General features: G+C 40.4%; 1 pseudogene across 3 annotated transcripts in view; it reads left to right on the plus strand.

Annotated features, from left to right (window-relative positions):
• Positions 1 to 25806, plus strand: part of SLC66A1LP (solute carrier family 66 member 1 like, pseudogene) — a 57783-nt pseudogene that overhangs the window by 27013 nt on the left and 4964 nt on the right. The window contains exons 3-5 of one of the 3 annotated variants that reach the window (NR_166164.1): positions 853 to 982; positions 1631 to 1719; positions 7955 to 8576. The product of NR_166164.1 is annotated as a solute carrier family 66 member 1 like, pseudogene, transcript variant 3 (transcript). Of the gene's footprint in view, positions 1 to 852; positions 983 to 1630; positions 1720 to 7954; positions 8577 to 25806 lie in introns of those variants that run through there. The other 2 variants (NR_166162.1, NR_166163.1) reach the window with 2 other exon arrangements.

Genomic DNA, 25806 nt, shown 5'->3' on the forward strand with positions numbered 1-25806 from the left:
ACTCAGCATTGATGTGAGTGGGATTATGGTCTCAGATGTGAATTCTGGAAATATTAACTTTTAGCTAGTATATGTGGTAGTGAAAGATTATAAATTTGGAGTCAGGAGCTTTAGGCTGATTCCCAGTTCTACCACTGGTGGCTTATGGTCATCATTTAGCCAAACCTTGGTCAACTTCCTGCAATAAACACTTCTGGTTTCAAAAGTTAATCTTACTTTATGGATATGGAAAGTGAGATTCTGAGAGATTAAGTAATTGTCTGATGTCCCACAGGTGATAAGCCATGTCTTCAGGTCTTTTGGATCCCAGGACCCAAGATTTTTAAAAATGTTTCCGCATAAGTGCTGGCATCGTAGGGAGCCAAATAGATTTTCACATTAATTTATCTGTTTGTCCACCTGTCTACCTGCATGTGGGCAACTTGATTAGAAGTCGATTTAAAAGAAAAAATAGATACTGGCTTTGAAAATGTAATCACTGATAAACACTATTCTTATGTTTTAGTGATATATCTATTCTCTCTAATTACATGACTTAATATCTTCCCCCACTATGAGGCCAAGAAAGAATAAACATGTACTTAGGACATATATATAAATTCTAATAGAAAATATAAAAGGCGAGATAAAAGGCATTAATGTTTTAGTATTGTCACTGAGCTTCTTTTAGGTTTTAGATATGTTTGCTCTGTGCTATGAATGAAGACGGGTTAAAAAGAGTCCTAGAGGCTTAAATGGAAGTGAATGAGATGTCTTATTGCTGTACATCATTGGTTTTGTTTTTATCTGGTGTTGAGTTGGCTCATTAAGTTCTGTGTTCCAAGTGTTTATTTGTCTATTGTCACTTTCCAGTCAGCTCTTTGTAGCCTACAGAAATGGAAGAGTGGATGAAGCAGTCTCTCTGGGTTTTCTGGATTGCTGGATAGGTGGAGACCTGACAAATTTCAAAGGCTGCTACCTGACTAACCAACTGCCTATTCAGGTAAAAGTTTCTCCAGATTTATCTTCAAAACAGTGAAGGTTCTGGGTTATGTGTGTATGGAGGGCTTCATGTGTAGAGTTGACAAATTTAGCAAACAAAATACAGGATACCCGGTCAAATTTGGATTTCAGAAAAACAACAAATACTTTTTTAGTATAGACCTGCTCTAAATATTGCATAAGTGTTCTGTGTCTGACAACCCTCTTAATGTGGCAAATTTTTTTATAGTAGAATAGAAGTCTGTCTGTTTTCAGATATATTTTTAAAGTCTACATCCAGTTTTAATTCCTTTTCTTCATACAGTTTTAATATTTTCTTGCCTCAAGGTAGCTGAACATGATATGTTGCCATTAGCGGATTCTTATTCTTTTCTATACTAAGGTTGAACAATAATCCACTGTTGCTGACACATAGTTTACAATGAGAGTCATGATTAAAAATATAGTCAGTGGCTATAGACAAATATTTCTACAGTAGTATTCAAATGAAAAAAATAAAGTGGAATATTTGTAACCTTTTAGAATACTTTGTTAATGTTTTTAATCATGTAAATGACTTTGTCACCTTCATACACTATCCTATATATATTGCATAATGGTGGCCTTGGATTTTATGTTTATGGATGTCCATCTTTATCTACCACTCCAGATTTTTACAGCCATCTTCGACATGAACACGGATGTAATCATACTCTCACAATTCATGTACTACAGGTTAAAGAATCAGAAGAAAAAAATGTAAGATTGATAATAGTTCACTCAAATACTTCTGTCTGTAATAGAACATTTTCTCATTTAAAAACTGATAGAGCATTTTCGAGTTATTTTTAATGAGTAAGGCGTATTTTGATAAGACATAACATTTCTCTCAACCATCTAAGTGAGTCCTTTGAGAATTTTCAGATGTGGCATATTTAGATTCCATGTTATTACCTTTTTTTTTAATTGGTATGTGTCATTGGACACATTAACACATCTATGTTATTGGAAAATAAACAGAAATGATTAATCAGAAAAAGGAAAGAGAGATTGGCAGGAATAGTCAAATGCTTTTAGAGGTTCCTGCAGGTGATAGGCAGTACCACTTTTCTCTTGTGGCTAATCTAAAAACATATCCTCCACAGGATAATAGCCACAAATAGTTTTTAAGTGCTTACCATTTGTCACTCGCATTGTAACTTATTTAATCTTCATATCGCCCATTGGGACAGGCACTATTTTAATGTTCAGAGGCTGGTGCAGAATAGGCCTGCAATATAGATTTGCTGAATAACTGAATATTATTTTTATTTTTGCTTTGTCTGCTGTGTTTTTAAATGACTGTTTCTTCACGTGTGTATTTATGAGCCAGCCCAACAATGAAATTTGCTTTTAGCTATGTACCTATGAGAGTGGCTCCATTTTTCCCCTTGGGATGGGTGGAGCGTATTTCTCTACTGCCCCCTGGTGGTTGTAACTATTACAAGGGTGGGAACAGCTACTCAAATCTACAAATCAAATACAAATCCCACTGGATACTAGAGTGGGGAAGGCAGGAAGATGACCCCCAGTTGTGTACCAGGCATGGTGAAAGACCTTTTATATGTGCTCCTTGAACTCGCTTATTTTCCATGGCAAACTCATTTATACAATTGAGGAAATCGAGGCATCCACAAATTGGACTGAGGTCACATAGCCAGCTGGTAGAGGGATTAGATTTCAAAATCAACCTAAAGTGATATGAGGTATATATCAAGCTGATTTACAGTGTAATTGGTGTCATGTGACTCATAAGCTCTATAAGAACAGGGACTGTCTCAATCTTCTTCCAGACTGAGTACGTAGCCGACATTCGGCAAATAGTGGTGGAATGAATGAATTGTGAAATATATGGAAATCTCCAGTAAAGCATTTGGTACTTAAAGGGCACACAATCAGTTCCCTCCCCTGTGTTGCCCGCTACCCCCACCAAACCTACTTTAAGTATATTAACTAAATAATGGCACCAAGAACTAAAATAAAGGAGCCATTTGGTAAAAGGTCACTAAGATAAGGGACATATATATATAAATAGTCACCACCATAACTAGTTTAATCTATCTGGAACTAATCCTGAATTTCTGTGGCAAACAGTCTAAAACAGTATGACAGCCCAGCTCTCTTCAATTTACTCCCTCAGGGCTAAATTGAGCAACTCACACAGTTTATGAGATTTCTGGAACAGAGTTTTGCTTAGCTGCAATATCTTCTGTGGGCAAAGTAGACTGAATTTGGAATGCTGTTAAACTTAGGGTCAATGCAGAGTTCAAAAAAAATTAAGTTTCACCAGGGAACATGTGCTCGATGGGCTATCCAACCTGGAATGTTGAGGGATAAAGCAAATCCTTCAAATATAAAATGTGTCTGAAGGTAATTTTTTATTGAAGTCTATTGTCTTAACATGTGGTTGTAATATATGAGAAGCCATGAGCCCTACCTTTGCAGTTATAACTCTACAAATGTTTTAAAATAAATGCTTCATCAGTTTTTATGTTAAACAAGTGGGAATGATTTAGCCAGAATGTTGCAGTCAGATATCTGTGTGTCTGATGTCTGCTGATGCTAACCCTGGTACGGATGCAACATAACTAAGAAATTAAAAATAGAATATAGAGGTTAAAGCTGCATGGACCTACCCTGCCCCTACCAACCCATGGTAGATGATTGTCTGGTTTATAAGGAGACATGTTTCCTACTTAAACATAGACTTTTGTATGTTTGTTAGCTTGTGGTTTTTGGTTTTTTCTTTCACTTTTACTAAGATTCTTCATCCCAGTGTTTCCTAGCTTCCTGAATGAGAGTGTTCAATTTGACCACCACTCCTGGAAGTTCTCAAGCTTTTATCATTAACTGATAGAGTAAGAACATAGCCAGCCACTGCCCATGGAGAATGAGTCACTCTGCTCTGTGTATTTAACAGTTATGGATCAGGTGCTTTTTGATTTTTTCCTCAGAGAGCTTTCCAAAATGTACCTTGACCTGGCTCTGCTGATTTAAACCTTGAGTCATCTAGATGCAGATTTAGGAAATAAGATCCATAGGATGTAATGATTTAATTTACAGTCTCTTGGAGTAGGGGCATAAATTATTTAGTTTTGCATTCTTGGTTGCTAAGAATGTAGGCATTTAGTAAGAGTTTGTCAATTAAATGACTGCTCTTCCATATCTCTGGAAACCTGCTTGGCATGTTCCAGTGGTGCCTGGGTTTTTCATAGTCTCCTTGCTTTTTATCTGTCTTAAGCTCAGGGCTTTTTGCTTCCTCTCTCCTTCTCTCAGAGGCCTGAATCACACTCCCTGTTGCTGCCTTTAATTTCTGTTGGCTACTGTTGCCACTGACACCACTTTTAATCTCCTCTGATCCTATTCTGTGTTATCGTCCTGCTTCATTTCTGCAGTGTTCTTCTTTCTTGTCTGCTGTTCCCTCCCAAGGCCTGTCAGCACTAAGATGGATGCATCGAGCTTGTAAATGTGTAACTGGGCAATTAAAGTAGCACTTTCCTTTCCTACAATTGATCCAGCCAATCACAACCGTCCATCAGGTGCTTTCTGTGGTTATCCTATTCTCAGATGCACTTAGTGATCTTGAATTCTAACTAAACAGCATATTTTTTTCTGGATGATGTTTGTTGTGTAACCATTCTGAAAACTCAAGTATTCTGGAGATTAAATACCAGATAAGGGGTATTTAGCTGCAGTAAATATGTGTGCCATTGGACATCATTTCAGCAGCTTGTGGCAGTTGTTCACCATTGCCCTGGTTGCTTTTAAGCACTAGGGAGTAGAAGCCTGCAGAATTTATGTGTGACTTGGGTGCCAGTGTGCATTATGCTGTCGGTGGCAATACCAAGTCTATTTTTGATGAAGAATCAACATGAGATTTCAACAGAAGCAAAAAAGGTAATCTTTATTTGAAAAGCCCATCAACTCTTTGTTTTATATCCATTTTTTGGTCACTTTAGAAATATTTTTGCAGAATTTTTCGTTGTTAATTTTATAACCTCCACAAAAATATTGTAGAAGTGCTGAGGTTAGTCCAGGAAGTATTTTATTTCAAAAATGAAATGACAGAATGCCAGGGCTCAATCCCCACCTCTCTCCATGTTCTCCCAATAAAAAATACAAGAAAGAATTTTTATTAACTTTTAGAAAAACTTCTAAGAAACTTCAATCCTTTGGGATTGCACTGGTAGTGTGCTTTAATATGTTAGAATTGACTGGGGCTCAGTAAGTTCCTGAAAATCCAGAAAGCACCTTCTTTCCTTTTGGGATGCAGGCTGATGGGCAGAAAGGCTTGACCCAGACTGAAGAGACCCATTCTTCTGGTGAACCTGCCCACTTGGCCCATCTACAGGCAGGTACTCAGAGAAAGAGTTCTGTGGGGTTGAACCAGAAATCCAGATGGAAACCCCATAGATACACTTACACTGAAGTTATTTTTTCCAAATCTTAAGTGCCATTATTCAAAGCAGCTTAGCATATCCACATGCATGAATAAATGATGTTACTACTTGATTAGGGAATACCACCCATCCTAGAAAGATGATTAATATTCATTGGCCTCCAAAATAACAAGGCTACAGAGAATAAATACTTCCACCCTAGTTTTGTCCAATGACCTTCCATTTCCCTTAAAATATTTAGATTCTAATGTATGTTTAGATTGATCCTTAATACTATCAATCTTTTTATGTTACTGCTTTCAGGATGCTGTTGGCATAGTTGAAATGTTAGGCTTTATTTGTGGCTATGTATTTTGTGTATTCTACTTGGGATCTCGATTTCCCCAACTATATAGAAATGTAAGTACGTTATTTGCTCTGTTTGTTCTGATGAATCAAAAGTGCTTCTTATGACTTTGTGTCTACCTTTGGAAGAGATCTTGGAATTCTGAGTAGTGCTTTTGGGACCAAAATATGGAAGTCAAAGTCACAAGAATCGATTCTTGATCAATTTTTTGTTTGTTTGTTAAGCTCCTTCAAGTTTAGGCAGCAGAATTTAGATCAGCTGGAATTGTTGTCTAAATCTGTTTTCCTGGGTTTGCATATTAATGGCAGAGTAATGAAGTCACAATAAATTATGCAAAGCATTTGGCATGGATGTTGTGGTTGTGTTCAACTTGTGAAAAAGACATGATTCCCTTGCACTTTGCAACTAATATACTTCATTGTGGCAACCTAGAAGGGACCCAACGTGTACATGTGTACTTTATCTCTCTGAATTTTCAACCACCCACGGTTTATTCGAATTTCCAATAGTATATTCTTTTATTTACCAAAGGTCCTGGAAACTGAAAACTCTAACTGAATTTCTGAATGTTTAATGGGAGTAAAAGAGTAATTTTCTCTAATTCATTCACTTGAGTTTCCATCTGGTCAAAATAGTCTCACATGTTTGTCAATATTTTGAAATGAAGTATTGCAAAAGGTAATATGTAGAAGAATAAATAATCCAGTCATCAACAAGGGAGTACACTACAGACATTGAATAAAGAAGCTTCATGCAAGCAGTACTTTTTTCAGGGGAGAATATTATAGTCTCTCCCTCAGAATTGCCTTAAAAATGAGCCCAAGAGGCAGCTTCACAGTAGATTAACATTTACTAACTCCCAATCCAGTACTGGACTGCATGATTAAAAGGATACTAATTGTTATCATTATCACACATAGATAATATTTTAAATGTTTATATCTTAGTACTTTTGAATCTTAAGAGAAATGGATAAGGGAAAAAATTTATAGAATTAACTATAAATATTTAATGTCTGTACATCAAATATAGGTATAAAACCAAAACATACAAAATAGATAGGAAGCACATATGGCAAAGAACCGAATGTTAGTAAGAATTTCCATAAACCAAAAGGAAAAAACAGTCCTATATAAAAATTTACATAGGACTCAAAAATGGATAATTAAAAAAAGAAGAAATGGCAGTGGCTCACGCCTGTAATCCTAGCATTTTGGGAGGCCAAGGGGGGTGGATTGCCTGAGCTCAGGAGTTCAAGACCAGCCTGGACAACATGGTGAAAGCCCATATCTACTAAAATACAAAAAATAAAAAATAAAAAATTAGGCGGGCGTGGTGGCATGCGCCTGTAGTCCCAGCTACTTGGCAAGCTGAGGCAGGAGAATTGATTGAACCCAGGAGGTGGGGGTGGCAGTGAGCCAAGATTGTGCCACTGCACTCCAACATGGGCAACAGAGCAAGACTTTCTCTCTAAAAAAGAAAAAAAAACCATGAAAAATAACAAACATGAAAAATAATTTAACTTCTCTAGGAATTAAATAAATGTGAAATAAAATAACAACTTTTTAGTCTATAAATTAGCAAATATAAAGAAATTACAGGAATCACAGCTGATAAGAATAGGGTTTGTTTGCACATTCATACACTGCTGAGTAGATGTTTAAAAGTCTTTCGGGAAGACATTTTGACGGTTTGCGTCAATATCCTTAAAAGTATGAATTTCACATCTAGATATCAATTCTATGGAAATTACCAGAAAGATGGAGAAATATGTATGTACTGAGGAATTTGTAAAAATGCCATCTATAAGTTTGGGGACAACTCAAATGCTGAATACAGTGGAATATTCTGGAGCAATTTAAAAATGTTGATAAATAATTTTTAATGACATGCAAAAATTATTATAATATATAATACGGGAGAAAAGGATATAACAAAATATTATGTATACTGTGTATAGTCATGTACCTTGCATAAAAAGAAAGAAATGAATCAGAATATTTTCTGAGTGTTGAGATTATGGGTGATATTATTTTAACCTTCATGTTTTCCACCTCTTCCAACATTTGTACAAGAAACTTTTTTTTTTTACAATCAGAAGATATTTATGATAATGAAATACAATTTAAAACTTGGGTGATTTGTGAAGCTGTGTACTGTATAGTGAAGAGAAAATAACAACTACTGTCATCCTTGCTTCTATTGTTAGTTCTGAAGAAGATCTACGGAAGGAACTTCATTTCTGCTGTTTGCATTGGCCATGATTGGGAACTTCACGTATGGACTTGGTGTGGTTTTAAAGGCACCAGCTGCTACGTGTCACAAGAATACTTACTTTGTGCATCATCTTCCTTGGCTTATTGCAAGTTTTGGAATCTTATTCCTTAACTCTTTTGTGTCTTTTGCCATCAGATTGCCATTAGAGAATAAACATGTATAGCTACTTAATATATCACCCAAAAAGTACATATATATATATATATATATATTCTAAGAAGTGTAAATAGCTAATGCTATAGTCATTTCATTATTATATTTGAAATGTTCATTTATAAGGAAAGTCTTCTCTCTCCCAAAGTCTCCTAATTATTATTATTCTAGCAAACGATCAAATTCAGATGAAGATTTCTTGGTTTCTTTGGTTCTTCTGATAAAAAAAAAAAAGTGGGGCCAAGTTTAGAAGCATTGAAATTAACACATCTTAGATATTAAATTTTATTAAAATTATAATAGCAGATATTAAGAAAAAACCATACCATCTCTGAAAATCTCTACAGAGAACACTTTGAATTAATAAATGATAACTGATGCCTTGCCTTTTGTTGATAAAAGTGAGTCTCATGAATTAATAGTCTATGGTAAATAAAACATTTAGAATGATTGGTTAATGAATTTAATGAAAATTGGCAATAATGTTTAAAACTACATTTATCATTTGTATGTAGGAAACAAATACGAGGGTGCTATTAGTTCTCAATATCTAAACTTACTTGTGATGATTAATACTGAGTGTCAACTTGATTGCATTGATCCTGGGTGTGTCTGTGAGGGTGTTGCCAAAAGAAATTAACATTTGATTCAGTGGGCTGTGAAAGGCAGACCCACCATTAATCTGGGTGGGCACCATCTAATCACCTGCCAGAGCAGCTAGAATATAATGTAGCAGGACAAGCTGCAGACAAAACCCCTCAGACACCAAGTTAAAGAAGGAAGCGGTTTATTCGGCTGGGAGCATCGGCAAGACTCCTGTCTCAAGAGCCAAGTTCTCCGAGTGAGCAATTCCTGTCCCTTTTAAGGGCTCACAACTCTAAGGGGGTCTGCTTGAGAGGGTTGTGATCGATTGAGCAAGCAGGGGGTATGTGACTGAGGGCTGCATGCACAGGTAATTAGATTGGAACAGAACAGGACAGGGATTTTCACAGTGCTTTTCTATACAATGCCTGTAATCTATAGATAAGATAACCAATTAGGTCAGGGGTCGATCTTTAACTACCAGGCCCAGGGTGTGGTGCCGGGCTGTCTGCTTGTGGATTTCATTTCTGCCTTTTAGTTTTTACTTCTTCTTTCTTTGGAGGCAGAAATTGGGCATAAGACAATATGAGGGGTGGTCTCCCTTATTCCCCGGCTTTGAGAATCTCACTCAATAGTGGGAGTTCTCACTTTCTTTCTCACTACCCATGTCTTCTTGCAAGGCAGGTCGATAATGATTCATATAGTACACCTGTGCTGAAGCATTTTGTTGAACTAAGGTAGTGATGAAGCTTTTTATCATTTGAAGAAGTACAGGTAGCAAACAAGGGAGCAGTAAGCAGGTTTCTATTACTATTATAACTCCTATTATAAGAGTTTGAAATCCTCCTAGCGCTGGGAACCATTTTCCAAACATGGCCCCAGGATCAAATCCATGCCACACTTGCACAGGCACATGTGCCAGTTTTGTCATATCTCTATGTCTTCAACTACTTGCCCTTGAACATCTATGTGTAGACAGCAATTAGTAAGGTTAAATTTCCTGCAGACCCCTCCTTCAGCTGCTAGCAAGTATTCAAGAGCCAATCTATTTTGGTAGATAGCATTTCTCATCTGAGTTTCTTGCCAGGCCAGAACAGTCAAGGCTCTGCCAGTTTTATTAGTGATTATTTCTAAGACAGCTTGTAACCGTATGATTTGGTTGATCTTGTAAATGGGGGTCCAGTATCCCCATGAGCCATCTTGTGCCCAAGTAGCAGCCCCATAATATTGTATGAGTCTCTCAGGGGGCCATTCATCATCTTTCCAATTTTCTATAGCTATGCTTCCCTTTTTGTGGGACGCATAGACAGGGAAGCCCAGGAGTTCACCTGTTTTTATGGGCTAGGAAGAAAGATGGTTTAATAGTGCCAATAACACAACTACTTGCCCACTGGTCAGGTAATCTGGCATAAACTCTATGCCCACTTACCCAGTATAATCCAGTGGGGGCTGTCCAGTCCCGGTGGGACTCCAGGTGGGTCCATACGGTTTGCAACTTTGGGAATTTACTAAATGGATTCCTCTCTGTGTGATTTGAACTCCAACAAGTGACTGTTTTTTTGGTACCATTATACAGTTTCTGTCCCAGACAACTAAGTCGTCTTACAGGGTGAGTGAATTATTTCCTTCTCTAGCTATGCAATATTGTCCAATAATTGGGAATTTTAGGACCCAGAAATTATGAGGGTGATTCTTTTGAGCCGGAAATTCATCAGGAACTGGGTCTGTAGGTACTAATTCTCGGGCTTTCCATGGCCATTGATCTCCCATTACAGTTCCTCCACATACACAGCAAGAAGTGATGTTGAGAGACTGGGCTACATGCTCGGCTAATTGCAAAAACAAATTCTTGTTTTTCCTGGAATTTCTGGTACTGGCACATTTAGTTCATCATAGAAAGTTTGAAACACTGGTTCAGGAGAGTGTTTGAAACTTCTCCTTGAACCAAGATATTTACTCAAGGATCCAGTCCAGCCTCGTCGATTCCTAAGGTCACACGCTCCCCTTTTTTCCAGCGAGGATCAAGGGATTGGTTATTACCAGCTCTAAGGGGTTACATTGTCCCTTAGTACAGGAAGGGCCATTTTTCCCTTTCTGAAAGTGGACTGGATCCTTTTCATTTTTTATCCAAGTGGCCCAAATGACACAAGACCGGTATCCACATTCATTTCCACACAGTCCTAATTCATGACAAATGTACTATTTTCGGTCATATAGCCTTTTTCCCAACTAAAAGACCCACATCCCCTTTCTAACTTATTGCTATTAATGACAGCACAGGCATCAAATTTCAATATTATGCATTTAGGCACCCCTTTTCCTTCTGTTCCGGCTAACACTTTACTTGTATCATTTAGGAGTCCCCACTAGTCTTCAGTCTTTAATCTTATTTCAAAAACTGTGAACATGGGAGAGTCAGAGGGGTCATAACACACATCTGGTCTGTCGTTTCCCGGGCTACATACTTTGTACTGAGTGTCATTATATAAACATGTTCCTTTTAAAGATCCTAAGCATTCATAGTAACTATAGAACAGAAAGATTGTTTTAACTTGTTGCCTTACCTCGAGTAACCTGATGTATACACTGAGAGCAGTCCTCCCTGCGGGGAATATCAGTGGAAGTTTTTACTATACAAGTCCAAATTATAAGAAAAATGAGTCCCATGATGATTCTCCTCATGCTTCAGCCATGTGTAGACCAGTTTCCGGGTGTGACTGGAGCAGGGCTTGTCGTCCTCCTCAGAGTCACTTTGCAGGGATTGTCCAGGCTTGGTTTTGCCTCCCAGGTTTCAGCGGCTGCAGGTTTCACATGGCTGTGGTGGATCCAGGCTGGGATTCCTTCTACCTTTACAGCCGTGGGGGTGGTCCAGATAACGGTCTGAGGTCCTTTCCACCATGGCCGCAAAGGGGCTCTGTTCCAGTCCTTGATCCACACGTGATCACCTGGAGAGAAAGGGTGAACTGGGGAGAATAAGCTGATGGGACACCTCTCATTTACCCAAGTTGAGATTGTTTGTGTAATTTTTCCTAAAGCCTGTAGCTGTCGCTGTAATTCAATTTCACCTAACTCTTGGGGAGTGCCTGGAAGCTCCCGTGGTATAGGAGGAGGCCTATGATACAGTATTTCATAAGGGGAGTATCCTTTTTTCTTAGAAGGAGTGCATCTAATTTTAAACAATACCATAGGAAGGGCCTGTATCCACTCTAATCCTGTTTCCTGACATACTTTCCCTAAACTATTTTTGATAGTCCGATTCATTCGCTCCACCTTTCCAGAACTCTGAGGTCGGTAGGTGGCACATAGCTTCCAAGTGATTCCTAATGCCTTTGCTGTCTTCTGTACCAAGACAGCCACAAACGCCGGCCTGTTATCTGAGCTGATTCATAAGGGCAGTCCAAACCTAGGAATAAGATCTCAGAGAAGCACACGGGTTACCTCGTAGGCCTTTTCAGTTCGTGTTAGATAAGCCTCCACCCACCCAGAGTAAGTACACACAAGAACCAGCAAATATGTGTTACCTCCACATTTCAGCATTTCTGTGAAATCCTCAAAAGCATTTTCTGTGAAGATCCTCAAAAGAAGCAGCTCCATAAACTTGTATGCTGGGTGGAAAGTGGGGCCTTGCCTCGCATTGTGCTGTCAGCAAGTAACACACTGTTGTGCTACTGCTTTGGCAAGGGCTGGCAAGTGTGAGACTTAGAAGTACCGGCCTAACAACTTTTCAAGTGACTCTTGTCTAGATGCATGGTTTCGTGCCTGGCCAATAAGATTGTGGCTCCCAGCAACTGTGGCACAGCTACCCTCTCATCTGGCAGTCTGATCCATCCTCCTTTTATTGCTTGACCCCCTTCTGCATGGAAGAAGTCTTTTTCTTCCTTAGAATAGGTAGGTACCAGGTCAGGTGTTTGAGGGAGTAAAGGGGCTGCTACTGATGCCCAGTAAGGGGTAGATGTTGCTTTTCAAGCTTCTGAATCAACTTGAGAGTTTCCTAAGGCCACTGAGGTGGAGGCTTGCTGGTGTCCCCTGCAGTGCATAACTGCCACCTTCTGAGGTTTTCACACTGCCTCTAATAATTGTAGAATTTCTTGTGATATTTTATGTCCTTTCCCCCAGAGTTTAACAGGCCCTTTTCCTTATATAATGCTCCATGCACTTGGAGGGTTAGAAAGGCATATTGAGAGTCAGTGTAGATGTTTACAGTCTTACCTTCACTGAGTTCTTGAGCCCTTGTTAAAGCAATGAGCTCAGTCTTCTGGGCTGAAGTGCCCTGTGGCAAAGGTTTGGCTTCAATGACAGCATCCAAAGTTACCACCGCATATCCTGCACATCTTTCTCCTTGTGGGTTGATGAAGCTGCTCCAGTCCACATATAACTCCCAGTCTACTGATGCCCATGGCTGGTCCCGAAGGTCAGGTCTGCTAGAATAGGCTGAATCCAACACCTCTACATGGTTATGCTTGACTGGGCTCTCTCATACTGGGAGCAGGGTGGCGGGATTTAGGGTGTTACAAACTTCAATAGTTATGTGGGGATTTTCACATAGCAAGCTTTGGTACTTGGTTAATCTAGCATTTGTTAGCCAATGATGTCCTTTGGTATTCATCAAAGTTACCACAGCATGGGGGACCTTTATATTCAGGTTTTGCCCAAGGGTTAGTTTATCTGCTTCTTGTGCTAACAGGGCTGTTGCTGCCAGGGCCCTTAGACGTGGTGGCCAGCCTTTGGAAACCCCATCTAGTTGTTTTGAGAGATAGGCCGCTGGCCTTGGCCAGTGCCCCACAGTCTGGGTTAAAACTCCAACTGCCATTGTTTCTCTTTCTGACACATAGAGTGTAAAGGGCTTTGTCACATCTGATAGTCCTAGGGCTGGGGCCAACATAAATTTTTCCTTTAACTTACAAAAGGCTTGCTGTTGTAGAGGCCCCCATTCAAAAGGCTCCCGGTCACCCCCCTTTGTCACCCTGTACAAAGGTTTGGCTAGTACTGCAAAGTTTGGAATCCATAATCTGCAAAACCCCACAGCTCCTAGGAATTCCCTTACTTGCCTTCTGGTTCTAGGTTGCTCTATTCATCACTCCAGTAGGCTGCAGATGACCTGCTTTCTTTCTGACCCCAGGCTGCGCTCCCCTTTCCGAATAGTGAATCCCAGGTAGCGTACCTGCTGTCTGCAGACGTGAGCTTTCTTCTTGGACACCTTATACCCATAGTCCTCCAGGTGCCGAAGCAGGGCATCCATCCCTTTTGCACACCAGACTGCTGTGGAGTGTCCCAGCAGAAGGTCATCCACGTACAGGAGCAAGACGCAGCCTAGGTGTTTAGCAGGAAACTTTTGCAGGTCTCGAGCCAGGGCCTCCCTGAAGATAGTAGGGGAGTTCTTGAACCCTTGGGGAAGCCAGGTCCAAGTGTACTAAGTAGTGACACCTGACTCCGGATCTTCCCACTGAAAGGCAAATAGCTTCTGGCTGTCGGGAGCTAGTCTGATGCTAAAGAAGGCATCTTTTAAGTCCAGACAGGTAAACCAGCAGTCCTCAGCCGGCAGCAGCCCTGACAATGTGTAAGGGTTAGGAACTGTTGGGTGGAGAGTCACTGTAGCTTGGTTGACCAGGCACAAGTCCTGTACTGGGTGATAGTCCTTTGTCCCTGGCTTATGGACAGGCAGGAGGGGGGTGTTCCACAGAGCCTGACAAGGAACTATAATTCCATAGGCTTTCAAGCGCCTGAGATGAACCTGGATTCCTTCGAGAGCTTCTCTGGGAAGTGGATACTGCTTTTGTCTAATTGGTTGGGCCCCAGGCTTAACTTCTATGAGTACGGGGGCTTGGTTGACCACCAGTCCCGGAGGATTATCCTCTGTCCATACTCGGGGCCATCACTTAGCTAGAGCTGGTTTTGTCTCTCGGCCTGGCTAGATTAGAAAAAGTCTCCATTCTTCTTCCCGGGGGACCGTAAGGGCCATGATAACTCCTGTTCCCAGTAACTTTAGCTGTAAAGGGCCCTGTTTTGTAAAAGAGATGGTGGCTCTCAGCTTGCTAAGCAAGTTTCTTCCCAGCAAGGGCAAGGGATAGTCAGGCATGTACAAGAACTAGTGAACTATCTCACATCCCCCCACCAAGCAGGTCTATGGTAGACAGAAAGCCTGCTTAGTGGAAACTTGTGTTGCTCCGATTATATCAATGGTTTTCTTGGATAAGGGGGCAACCAAGGTGGTCACTACTGAATGTTCAGCACCAGTATCAACCAAAAACTTAATGTTCTTGTCCCCAGTTGTAATCCTGACCATGGCCTCCTTGGAGGCGCTTGAGCCCAGTCCCCTTCAGTCCAATAGCCCTTCAGCCAGATTGAACAAAGCTCCCTCGTCTTTATCTTTATCTGAGTTCTTTTGTTCCGAATCACCTTGCTTTTCCTCCAGTCGGGGACACTTATCTTTCCAATGTCCTATTTCCTTACAATAGGCGCATTGGTTATGTTGCAAACGTGGGCGATTAGACTGGGTATTCTTCCCGGAACCCCCCTTTCCCTCTCCTTCTGGGGGAATTCCCCTAATGGCCATGGCCAGTAAGTTGGCATTTTGCCTAGCCTGGCGTTCGCCTTCCTTATGGCTTTCTCTGCGGCTCGTTGCATCTCTATTCATAAACCCTTGATCGGCTATTTCCAGTAACTGTGAGGTATTCATACCCACAAACCCAGCCTGTTTCTGCAGTTTTCTCCTGATATCTTCTGCGCTTTGATTAACTAAGGCCATGTTAATCATGCGCTGATTTTCAGGGCTATCTGGATCAAAAGGAGTGTACATACAGTAAGCCTCACACAGACTTTCATAGAATTGCACTGGACTCTTCTTTTCCTTGGATGACCTCAGAGACCTTATTTACATTTGTAGCCTTTTAAGCCCCTTTGTTTAGACCTTCTATTAATGCCTCATGGTACCGTCTTAGCCTCTCTATGTCTGGTCCCTCGTTCGGGTCCCACTGGGGGTCTGTTCCTGGCAGCTGAATTCTTATATATTCTTGGGGGTTTTGGTAATCAGCTGGGACGTGCTCCTATAGCCACTTAGTTGCCACCTGGAGCACCCTTTGCCTTTCATCTGTATTAAAGAGGTACATGAATAGCTGGTGGCAATCAGCCCAAGTAGGATTATGAGTCTGTATAATAGTTTGGAGCAAGTCAGTTAAAGGTTGAGGCTTTTCAGCGTAAGATGGAGTATTATTTTTCCAGTTGAGGAGGTCAGCAGAGGTGAAAGATTGATTACACAAAGGCACGCCTTTCCATCGTGTGTCCGTCTTCATCTACCCCAGTATATCACTGCTCTTTCAAGGGCATTTGGATTCCAGTCTTGGGCCATAAGTGAGCTGCCAACAGAGGACTTTCTCCTGCTGCTTCACTTCCTCTTTTGCCTACTCTGGGTGGTCTAGGAGTGCGGTTATCTGGTGGAGGTGTAGGTGCTGTGGGCTCAGGGGAGGGGAGCCCTTCCTCTCTATAAGGAGGGGGTACTGCTGGTACCAATTCCTGCCATGATTCTTCTGGTGTTGGGTCGGACAGAACTTTTGGTGCTGACTTCCCTTGGCTGGTGGAGAGAGAATCTTCCTTAACTAACTGTCCCTTTGCTACTAGTACTGTTGCTGCCTATCCTCTTAACCACTGTAGGGGGTCCAAAACTAGCTGTAATCAAGTGTCTGTGTATGGGAACTGGTCTGGGTACCCTGGCTTACAGGACACCTTGTGCCATACCTTTGAGAAAAGGGACCTGTCCAGGCTTCCTTCTGATGGCCAACCCACCTCTAATGTTGGCCAGTCTATGTCACACAAAGTTCTAAGTTTTCCTGGTGTCATGGTGACTCCACAGTCTTCCTTAAATCCCTTTTTGAAATTTTTCAACATAGTTCCTAGTGGGATGGGCTTACTTTGTGCCTGACCCATGTTTCCTCGAGGCAAAACACCACGCTCACACCACATGCACACCACAAAACAAAGAACGGGTAAAAAGGACACACACACTTTTACAGTTTACACCAAACCAGAATCAAAACCAAAATCAGAGTATCAAGAAATCCAAGCCAGGTCAAAACCAAAACCAAAGTATCAAGCAATCCAAGTCAAGTCAAAAACAAAAACCAAAGTGCCAGTACAGGCACGCCGTAGGTGATCAGGCAATGCTTCCACTCAAATGGAGTGGGCAAGTTCCAAAGACTAGTCTTACCAAGTTTCAGATGTCTGGACTCCAAGTGCCTGTTCCTTCCTGGTGTTCAGTCACTGTGTTGATCCTCCACGGGGGCCTGCCATTCACTGCTCCGGCGAAGCCTTCCACCGGGGCAATTGCCTACCCGGGAGCACTCTCAGGATCCGCGTCACTCAAGCTGGCTGGAGTCCCCCACAGGGATGCTCCACAGGGCAGGCCTAAGCCACCTAAGGGGCTGCCTCGACCATCCGTTAATCACCTCGCTTCTAGGTCAGGGAACCAAGAAATGTAGCAGGACAAGCCTCAGACAAAACCCCTCAGACACCGAGTTAAAGAAGGAAGCGGTTTATTCGGCCAGGAGCATCGGCAAGACTCCTGTCTCAAGAGCCGAGCTCTCCAAGTGAGCAATTCCTGTCCCTTTTAATGGCTCACAACTCTAAGAGGGTCCACTTGAGAGTGTCGTGATCAATTGAGCAAGCAGCGGGTATGAGACTGGGGGCTGCATGCACCGGTAGTTAGATCGGAACAGAACAGGACAGGGATTTTCACAGTGCTTTACTATACAATGTCTGTAATCTATAGATAACATAACTGATTAGGTCAGGGGTCGATCTTTAACTACCAGGCCCAGGGTGTGGCGCTGGGCTGCCTGCTTGTGGATTTCATTTGTGCCTTTTAGTTTTTACTTCTTTCTTTGGAGGCAGAAATTGGGCATAAGACAATATGAGGGGTGGTCTCCTCCCTTAATAAAGCAGGGAGAAAAATGTGAAAAGGAGAGACTGACCTAGCCTCCTGGCCTACATCCTTCTCCTGTGCTGGATGCTTCCAACCCTTGAACATTGGACTCCAAGTTCTTTAGTTCTGGAACTCAGACTGGCTTCCTTGCTCCTCAGCTTGCAGACAGCCCATTGGGGTACCCTGTGATCATGTGAGTTAATACTTAGTAAACTCCCCTTTATAGATATATATTTTATATATATAATATATAATATTATTTTTTATTTTTCATATATATTATATATGAACTATAAATAAAAATATATATTTCATATATCCTATATTTTTCATATATTATATATATATTCTATTAGTTCTGTCCCTCTAGAGAACCCTGACTAATACATTACTAAAATTTATCATAGTTATATAGTTAAATAGAAATATCTCTGTGTTCTTTGGCTCATTGGTACTTTGAGTTTCAAGAAACATAGGGGTATATATTTATGATAGGCTTGATAAAATTGGCATAAGCTGTCAGTCTGATTGCAAAGTGAGGAATCCAAGGTTTATTTGATGGATTGTCAAAAATGTCAAATAATCACTGAAGAATTCTTGGCATGAATTTTATTTTTATTTTTTGGACTCAGCCATTAAAGAAAATGAAAATGGTCCCTTGCACTTTAGCAGCTCTTTATGATTTTCAGTACTTTGTGACAGATCACTAATGAGTTCACCAAAGATGTTTCTGAGAAGCAGAAAAATAAGAGCCTCATTTAAAATAGAATACTTTGAGGCAGATAGTTAGGAATACATTGAGTGAGCAACAAGGTCTGGATGATTCCTGAGCACCTGTGCTCAGCAGGGAGTCCCAGAAGAGAACAAAGGGGAAATCTTGAGTCATCTCTCCTTCTTCAACCTTCTAGTAAGATGGGAATCAGGGGAAGGTGAGCATGAATGGAAGAAAGGGGCTTCTTGCCATTGAGAGACTAGCAGAGAAAAATTGTGGTTAGATGATAGTGTTGTTTCCATTTCTTTCAAAGCCTGACTTCACCACCATGCAATATATTCATGTAACACAATTACCCCTTAAATTTATACAAATAATAATAATAATAAAACAAATTGGCAGAGTAGGGTAGATTTATGACCTTTTCACTGAACAACCCAAAATTCTGTTTTTATTTTAACTTGATCATGTGAATGCTTAATCTTCTGCTCCAGATATGGAGCACATGGGAGGGCATTGTCCTCTAACTGACCTTTCCCAAAATCGAATCCTGTCTAAAAGCTGTAACCTAAAACCCAGAATCATTGGCCTTAAAGAAGTTTTCCCAAGAGAATTAGACCATTCCTTTTTCATTTCTAAATGTATGTGCCTCATGCATGCATTCAGGAAGTGTGGTATCCTTGGCCTCAAGCCTCCCTGAATTTTAGGATACGTGTATAAGCAATAATCTCTCTGTTCCAACTTGATTGGAGCCTGAATCCAATCTCTCCTGAAATTAGTTTCAAATCCAAATTCAATTAAAAACAGATGTTTCCAAGTAAACTGAAAAAAGTCTATAAAGAAAAGGCAGGCTCACTGCCTTGAGAATTGGTTGAATTCTCTAGGTACTTATAATCATAAGGAAGAGAGAAATCAGAGTTGCTCCGGAGAGTTAGCTCTTCCTTTCACACTGAGCCATCCAAGTGCTCGGAAACAGTGTCTTTTAAGGAGGTGTGTTATTTGCCAGGCTAGACTTTTCTACCCGAGCCACTTTCTGATTTATTCCAGGTCAGGACAAATTTGAATCTTGGGTTAGGCACTTAATAATTCTTATTGCTGAGAATTAATTTCTACATACAGCAGAAGGGACACATAAAAAAGAACTTATTTTCTAGAAGTACTGGCATATCAGGGATTCTTGCACGGAAAGTTTCATTTAGCACATTTTTAAAAACTCCTTCTAAAGTTAGCCTGATGGCAATTCAGAAAACATTAGTGAGTTTTGGAAGGTTTTTTTTCCCCCATTGAAATCAAAACCCCATTAAGGAATGCACGGTGGGAAGAGGGAGAAGAAAGCTTACTTGTAGACAAATAATACCCATGAACTTTAATGCATTAAAATGGATTCATAAGTTTTTCAAAGATGAGAAACATGTGTCCAATTATTGTAAGATTCACCACTCCTTACAAATTCAGAGCAGACAGTCCTCATCTCCTTGTCTTAAAGTGCATAGGTCTATTTTCAGAATAATTTTTAGCATTAAGTCTGGGCCACCATTTGATTTTTAATCTCCTCTTTTATCCCTGGAATCTTGCATTCCTGGTGTACTTCATCTTTTTTGTGTGTAATAATATCCTTCAGAAATCTTTGATGCATCAGTGAATTAAAAGAAAAAGAAATGAGATGTAAGTGCTTGCTCTATTTGTCATTTTTAATACGTTTTGAACTACTTGATTTATGATTAAGCATTTCTTGGGAGAGGAGAATGTTTAAGGTGGTATTTTGAGCTCCATTTAAAGCAATTTAGTTGTCATCAGGCCTCCTCACCCCATAACCTTTGTAGACCTTGCTTCATAACTTGGACCCAAACAATTGGCTTGTGTTTCAAGTAGACAAAGCCTTATGGAAATGATACTTGTTAAGTGTTTTTATTGGACATCTGGGTAAGAGTTAGCCTTTGTCAGACCAGTCACAAACTACAGCTAGCCTGACTCCAACACTCTTGGTGACAATTTCTGTTCTTAGCAAACTCTTTCTAAACTTTATTTTAAATCAAGAATGAATGATATTATTTGTATTCATTTTCTCCTGCTTTCTGCTTTGGTTCCTGATTCAGTGGCTAAGGTTAAAAATATTCACTCAATTTTCCCCTCATCTTTAGGTCAGATCTCTTCCCTTCATCCTGTGGGATCCTACCCTAGCATCAGGTGGAATCTCTGTAGCCTATGTTTTGTTCATGCTCTGCCAGGATGCTGTGGCTCTGCTAAGAAGTGGCAGAGGGATTTCAGGTCCTGGAAGTACTAAGTTGAGCTCAGCCACCTTAAAAGATAACCAGGATTGTCTTCACTCTCACTGCCTCCTCTCAATGAATTATCTAAATCTAAACTAATATTAGATTACAGTAGCATACAACCTCCTCAATGTCTATGTGATCAGATGAGAGACAGGAGAGGTTAGTACAATTTCACTCTCTTTCCTTTCTTTCCTTTCCTTCCTTCCTTCCTTCCTCTCTCTCCCTTCCTTCCTTCCTCTTTCTTTCTTTTTCTTTCTTTCTTTTTCTTTCTTTCTCTATTTATTTCTTTCTCTCTCTCTTTTTGTCTTGCTCTGTTGCCCAGGCTGGAGTGTAATGCTGCGATCTTCATTCACTGCAACCTCTGCCTCCTGGGTTCAAGTGATTAAGTGATTCTTCTGCCTCAGCCTCCCGAGTACTTGGGATTACAGGCGCCTGCCCAGCTAGTTTTTGTATTTTTAGTAGAGATGGAGTTTCACCATGTTGGTCAGGCTGGTCTCAAACTTTTGACCTCAGGTGATCCACCCACCTCAGCCTCCCAAAGTTCTGGGATTACAGGCAAAAACCACCACGCCCGGCCCAATTCCACTCCATTTCTTAATAGCAAAATTTACCTTATATTTTAAATAAATGAAAGCAGTGAAGGCAGTATCCCTTGGGTGATTGTCAGATAGAAAAGGCTGAGGGGCTCCATGCAGTATTTTTCATTGCTTGTATGGAATGTTATACCTGGAGAACACTGCACAGCCAGAAAATTAATTCTAGAAATTCCTGGGCCAAAGGCAGAGTATCTATCTCAAATTTGGAGACAAGGCCAGGGAGTGGCTTGGCTCAATATGAAGCAAAAGCAAAATAAATAAACAAAAGGGAGTGGGAAGATGCTCAGAGTATTCAGAAGATGAATTTTCTTCTAGTTTAAAGTGAAAAAAAAAAAGTCTGTTTCCCCAAAGACAATGGATTCACCAGTGATCCAGGGAGCTGACAAGAGTAACACTTTGTCCAAGCATGTGATACCCTCCTTGTTATTTTTCTCCTAAAAGTTCTGGGGCTTTTTGATAAGTGTGAGAATTTTTAAGGTGTGCGACCTATGGAGGTGTTGATTGAACTCCTTTCAGTGAGGATGCACACCAGAGATCTTATTAAATAAAGTTTTCGTATTCACAAGCCCTTAACTTTGCCTAGATGTGACTTCAGAAAATTGAGATGCAAATGTCATCCCAGTCTATAGTGATAACAGTGTTTTAAAAAAGTTTTTTAGTTGACAAAGCAGTTTTACACATGACACCTGAGACTTGCTACTTTTTGGAGGAAAGGCACTTGGTGAATTCAAAGAGAGCACAGCCTGGTCTGTGCTTCACCAAGTCCCTGTCCTAGTAGCAACTGGAGAGCAACAAATATGAACAAATAGAGCCAAAGAATTCTGCTAGAACCAGCTTTGGCCTCTTTGCACCTCAATTTGCTAGTCAATAATGAAAATAACTGAATTAGGTCTTTTTTTTTTAATAGTCTTTCTGGCTTTAGAATTCTTTGTCTATTCTCTATATTCAACTCAAGAGGTTTTTTTTTTAAATTTTTTTGTTTTAATTCCTTTGGTGTAGGATTTAAAGGAAAATAAGCAAGCCAGGGAACATGCGAGGAAGGCAAAGATAAGGAAAGGGAAACAACACTGAAAAAGAACTTGGAGAAGAACAAAAGGAAATAAGCTTATAGATAAGTAATGGGGTGAGAGAACTATGAGAATTGGATCAATTTCCTGTATCTCAGATTTAATATAGGGGGGAAAGACCTGATGATTTGCAGTGTAATTCTGTAAATCATGTCAGAATTAATAAGCCCTTTAATTTTTCTCCTTAAGAAGAACACACTAGGTGACTGCACAGTTCATTCCATAGTACAGGCAGAGGACACGACGACCCAGTTTGGTGGTGGTGCTGGAAGGAGAGCCATTACCTGCTAATGAGGATGAATCCTAAAGCCTGCACTGCAGCCTCTGTCCATGGTGTGTTGAGGAACTTGCTGTGTTGATGCTTTTCTTGGTGAAGGGATGAGTTCTTGCCTTTTCTCCGTGCAGCACATTCATTCTATAACATGCTGCCCCAACCACAGGCATCGGTGACAGAATAAAAAACATGTTTATCGTTAATGTTTTCTGCAACCGAAAAATTGTAGTTGATCTGAAAATCTGTAGAAATTACTATCTGAAAATCTGTAGAAATACTAATCTGTAGTAAATTTAGTTTACTACAAAGTAAATTAAATTACTTTGCTGCCCACAGCTTAGCAAATTGTAAAGTTTCTAACTTTATTCAATAGTGGTTCTTTTATTTTTTTTTAATGTACAAAAAATCACCTAGATGTGTTTTGTATGACACCTTGGTCTCTTAAAGCAGACTCTGGTTGAATGTTGTTGCACATACTTTGTGTTGTAGGTAATTATAAAATGTCTTGTTTCCTATTGATATAAATAAAACATATTGATAAACTGTGGATTCAACACATTCTGGAAAAGATTGCAAGCATTTTTAAAGTGCAAGTGGCTGATGCAGAGTAGGTCCTTTGCAAATGTTGGATGAAACGCTGCAGAGTGGACTTCAACCTGTGCAGGTAGGCATGGCTGGGAGGAGACCCCAGTGCAGACATTCCTCCTCAGGCCAGAGAGGTGAGGGAGCTGTGATGTAACTGTAACCACTTATCCAGAAAGTATGTCTCTGTTATGATGGTGTTTCACAGGCAGTTGCCCTGAACTCTTTGTTTGGAAAGAAACTGTATTAATCCTCAAGTCTGTCAGATGCTGCCCAGAGCTTAGCAAGTCATAAAGGCAGCTCTTGCGTCTTCTTTGCTTATGAAAATCACACCTTGATACAATCCTTCATTGGCATGGCAGCTTTTTCAGTAGTGTTCCTATTAGCTTATGCAAGAGGGATGGGTAGTTGGATGATTAATTGAAAAGTTAAATAAACTGAAGAGTCATTTTTTAAAATCCTAATACATAATATATACTATAAACATTTATTTTAACTTAAAATAATAAATTGTATATTCACTTAAGAATAATTTGATGGGGAAGGCAAAGTCTTTCCTTGGAGTCTAGGTCTGATATTGGAGTTGTCTTTCATAAACCACATTTACAATACATCATTTACAATTTCCGGTTTTTGATTTCTTTAAAGTTACAGTTTTGTTAGAGTAGAGTAGGAACTTAAAGACACTCGTAATCTGAGAACAGAGGCCTCTAGATTATAATTATTATTTTCTCCTGACTTTACAGTTGTTTCACTGACACATAATTCAAGAATACTTTTAGGAGCTCCCTTTTGTCAAGCCTTTCCAAAGGAAACATCTTAATTTTTCATAAACAGTCTCTCCCTTTACACTCATATTTCATTGCCTCACACAATTTTTAGTTAAATTATTTAAATATATTAAGTCCAACAGGGCATACACAGGGTTGAGATCAAGCACAACTGATTCTTGGTAAACTTACAACCTAATTGGCCAGAGTAGAAGCACACAAGCTCCAGAAAGCCTGCTCTCTGCTGGCCCTTGGGGTACTAGCGGCAAGCAGAAGGGAGAACTGCGGAGGGCATGAAGGAGACAATTCATCTGCAGAATTTGTAAGTGGGGGTCGGTTAAGCAGCTTCTACTCTAATAAATTCTTACTAGGTATTGTGCAATGTGCTAGTCCCTAATTGAGGAACAAAGATAGAAGTACAGTTGCTGCCAAGTATTGTGTGCAGTAGAGGCTGTCGGCACAGAGGAGGAGAAATCCCTTATGGCTGAAATGAGCAACCAGAAGCAAGCTGTTTTGGACTGAATTGTGTCCCTCCAAAAGTTCATGTATTGAAGTTCTAATCCCTAGTACCTCACATTGTAACCACAGTTGGAGGCAGGGATTTTAGAGAGGTAGTTCAATTAAAATGAAGTTATTTGGTGGGGGGAGGGGGGGGCCTCATTCAATATGACTGGTCTTCTTATAAGAAGATAAAATTTGGACACAGACATCGACAAAAGGAGGACCAAGTGAAAACACAGAGAGAAAATGGCCATCTGCAAGGCAAGGAGAGAAGCCTGAAACATAGCCTCCCTCACAGCCCTTAGAAGGAACAAAATTTGCCTGCCGACACCTTGATCTTGGGCTTCCAGCTTCCAGAACTATGAAAAATTAATTTCTATTGTTTAAGCCACGCAGTCTATCGTACTTTGTTACAGCATCCCTAACAAAAGACTACAGAAGCCTTCAAGGAGTGGGGAGTATTTGAGGTGGGATTTAAAAGATGGGTAATTTATCAGTAGCCCAAGATGAGAGGAAGGAAATTAGAGGCAGATGGAAGAGTCAGAACAAAGACTGAGAAGTGGGCCAGTATTTGAAATATAAAAAACAGACCGTTTGGCTGGAGGAGAGAGCCCATGTAGGAAAGGAATGGAAGAATAGGCTAGAAGAGGTAGGTCAGATCCGCATATCCTTGAGGGCCATCTGTGGGCAGTGAGGAGTCACTGAAGGCTTTGGAGCAGTGATACAATCAAAGCAGCATTTTGGAGACATTGTCTCACATAGAGCTGTCAGGGAAGGCTGTCTGCTACGTGCTGGAGTCCTTTATAGCTGTCCTTTATAGCTGTCCTTTATGGTAACGTGACTTTGTCTGTCTCCCTGGCATGGCTGACGATACTGCAAGGTGATGGGTGGGAGAGGGTCAGGACTCGCTGCGGCAGAACCATAAGAAAGCATGACTGCCTTACTAAACTTCCAAACTTCCATCCTGCCCTCCCCTCCAAAGACAGGCTTAACAGACTTCTTAACATTATTTGCTTCTTAGTCGAGCAGAGAGTGGACAATGTGAGTGGCAGAATTCAGGAAGTATGCTTGGCTCTGGGCTTCTTTCAAAAGTCCCAGCCAAACCATGAGTGAAGACCTAGGCTTCAGTTCACCTGTGGGTTGATGTGACGTTTCTCATATTGAGGTGTTAAAGTTGAAACAGTGTATTATCTTGCATGCAAGGTAGAAAATAAAGTTCCATTTCTTGCACATCTAAGTTTATGGACAATATTCCCACCTGCTACATTTTTATAAGGAATTTAGAATTTCAGCTTAATTGGGGTTATTCGGGGGTAGTTCTGGGCAGGGACTTGTTTTGGCAAACAGATTTTGTGTCTTT

The sequence above is a fragment of the Homo sapiens genome, chromosome 3 (genome assembly GCF_000001405.40).
Source record: "Homo sapiens chromosome 3, GRCh38.p14 Primary Assembly".
NCBI classification, from domain to species: Eukaryota; Metazoa; Chordata; class Mammalia; order Primates; family Hominidae; genus Homo; species Homo sapiens.